The 2,663-nt window shown below is 43.9% G+C and overlaps 1 annotated feature.

Moving 5' to 3' along the window:
• Window positions 2,237–2,437: a silencer, noted in NCBI's record as "peak492 fragment used in MPRA reporter construct". NCBI's record gives its function as "represses an SCP1 promoter by STARR-seq MPRAs in K562 erythroleukemia cells {active_cell/tissue: K562}" and the evidence as "EXISTENCE:reporter gene assay evidence [ECO:0000049][PMID:32103011]".

Raw genomic sequence — 2,663 nt, forward strand, 5'->3', positions numbered from 1 at the left:
TAGGCCGCAAGAAGTATTTTGCTTTTAAAAAACATAATAGAAGCTTGAGAATTTTTTGCTCACAGTTATCCCTGGGGGCACCATGGTTTTTCAGGGGACGCCAGCTCATCCTCGGGCTGAGTGGTCTATCACGCACCCCCAAGAACATGCTCCCAGTGTGCTCCCATGTCCTACAACAGCTTTGTGTTAGTAAGGATGCAGGTTCTGCTACTCTGACAAAGACCCAAAGCTGGAGCTGCCATACATTTTCAGAAGTCTTGGGATCTGATTGTTACACAGAGCTATAATTAACAATTAAATTTTATAAACTTAAAAGTGAATATATTAAAAGTCAATGTAATGAATACTCAAAACTCCCGCCTTCCTAATTCCTTGACTACATTCTACTCTTCTCGACGCTATTGCAGTGATTCGCATGTATCATGTCTGCATGGGGCAATGCTCTGTAATGGGGTGAGGCTGCAGCTCTGGGTTCTGACCATCCAGTCTCCTTTGATCCTGCTGCTCTGGCATCTCAACACCTTATTCCATCCTGCATCCAAGGAGGCTTGTCTAAGCTCTAACTCCTGCCTGCACCCTAGACCAAGGAAAAAGGGGAAAGAGGAGAGGGAGGGTCCCTTCTTTTCTTTTAAATTCATGGTCTTGACCTTGCATACATTGCTTTTGCTCTCTTACCTTAATGGCTACATTTAGCTGCAAAGCAGCCTGGGAATATAGTCTTCATCAGGGCTGCCATGTGCCCAGCTAAAACATTTCTAACTCTAGAAGGAAAGAATGGATATTAGGGGACAGCTGGCCCTCTCTAACATTTCAAGGGTTCTACTCAGCTTCTAGGCCACCAAGCAGTCCCCTACTCCCTCATCCCAACTCTTCTGAAGGCCTGTTGCACGTCTCCAGGAAGGCTCTTGGAATTGTCCAAGCTGGTGTAGAGGTGGCACCCTCCAGCCAATGCTTTCAAAACACTCATGGGCTTCCCATATCCCCCACCTCCAGGCAGCGAGAAGAGACTCAGAAACACATGAACCAGGACCATCTTTGTACAGAGTGAGCACCAACAGATAAACCCTGGTGAAGGGGACTCCACTGTAGTTAGGGCTGAGCTGGACTCTGGGTGTGGAGGGAATAATGGTATCAGGAAAAACTAGATAGTCCCTGCTTCAAGGAGCTCCTAATCCAGATGAAATTCTTATACCTGGAGGATCACTAATAATACAGGCAGTATCTGGTAAGGACCAGGTAATTCTTTTCTAATTTTAAATTCTGGGGAGAGAACCATTCTCCATGAGCAACCAACTCATTGTTGCTCTAAGCTCTTGTTTTGAACTTGGACAGTTATAATCAAATAAAACCTACCACAAAGTTTGGTTGAGATTAGTTAAAGATCTACATAATTATTGTGCTGCCTAGTAATTAGGCAGCAATGGTAAGCAGTCCACATAAATGACTAATTAGCATTATTTTTACGTGATCAAAGTTTTTAATTTTCACTGTTACCCCGTACAGTTTATTGGTTATCTCTCTCGGTTCCAGCCATAACTAACACTTTGCAGCATGTAGGAGGCTCTGGCCCTCTCCAGCCTCTGGCCTGTGCCTGGAATGGTCTCTCTTGAAGTTCTCCATCAAGCCCTGTTGATACTTGGAAGAGGCATGGCACAGAGGTCAAGTGCTTGGGCTCTGGGGTCAAAATGCCTTCACGACTTAACTCCATTGTTTAAGCTGGGTGAGCTTAAGTGAGTTGCTTAATTTTCCACTGCTTCAGCTTGAGAATGTGCCTTGGACATAATTAATAATATATGTTATTAGCTCCTTTATTCATTCATTTGTTCAACAAATGTTGCGGGAAGTCAGGGACACCGAACGGAGGGACCGGCTGGAGCTGCGGCAGAGGGACATAAATTGTGAAGATTTCATGGACGTTTAACAGTTCCCAAATAGTACTTTTATAGTTTCTTATGCCTGTCTTGTCTTTACTCTCTTAATCCTGTTATCTTCCTAAGCTGAGGATGTATGTCACCTCGGGACCACTGTGATAATTGTGTTAACTGTACAAACTGATTGTAAAACATGTGTGTTTGAACAATATGAAATCAGTGCACCTTGAAAAAGAACAGAATAATAGCGATTTTTAGGGAACAAGGGAAGACAACCGTAAGGTCTGACTGCCTGTGAGGTTGGGCAAAAAGAGCCATATTTTTCTTCTTGCAGAGAGCCTATAAATGGACGTGCAAGTAGGAGAGATATTGCTAAATTCTTTTCCTAGCAAGGAATATTAATATTAATACCCTGGGAAAGGAATGCGCCCCTGGGGGGAGGTCTATAAATGGCCGCTCTGGGAATGTCTATCTTGTGCAATTGAGATAAGGGCTGAGATACCCCCTGGTCTCCTGCAGAACCCTCAGGCTTACTAGGGTGGGGAAAAAACTCCGCCTTGGTAAATTTGTGGTCAGACCGGTTCTCTGCTCTCGAACCCTGTTTTCTGTTGTTTAAGATGTTTATCAAGACAATACGTACCGCTGAACATAGACCCTTATTATTAGTTTTGCTTTTTGCCCTTTGCCTTGTGATCTTTGTTGGACCCTTACCAGTAGTTCTGCTTTTGCCCTTTGTCCTGTTCCCTCAGAAGCATGTGATCTTTGTTAGACCCTTACTAGTATTTCTGCTTT

This window comes from Homo sapiens, chromosome 1, assembly GCF_000001405.40.
Source record: "Homo sapiens chromosome 1, GRCh38.p14 Primary Assembly".
Lineage (NCBI taxonomy): Eukaryota > Metazoa > Chordata > Mammalia > Primates > Hominidae > Homo > Homo sapiens.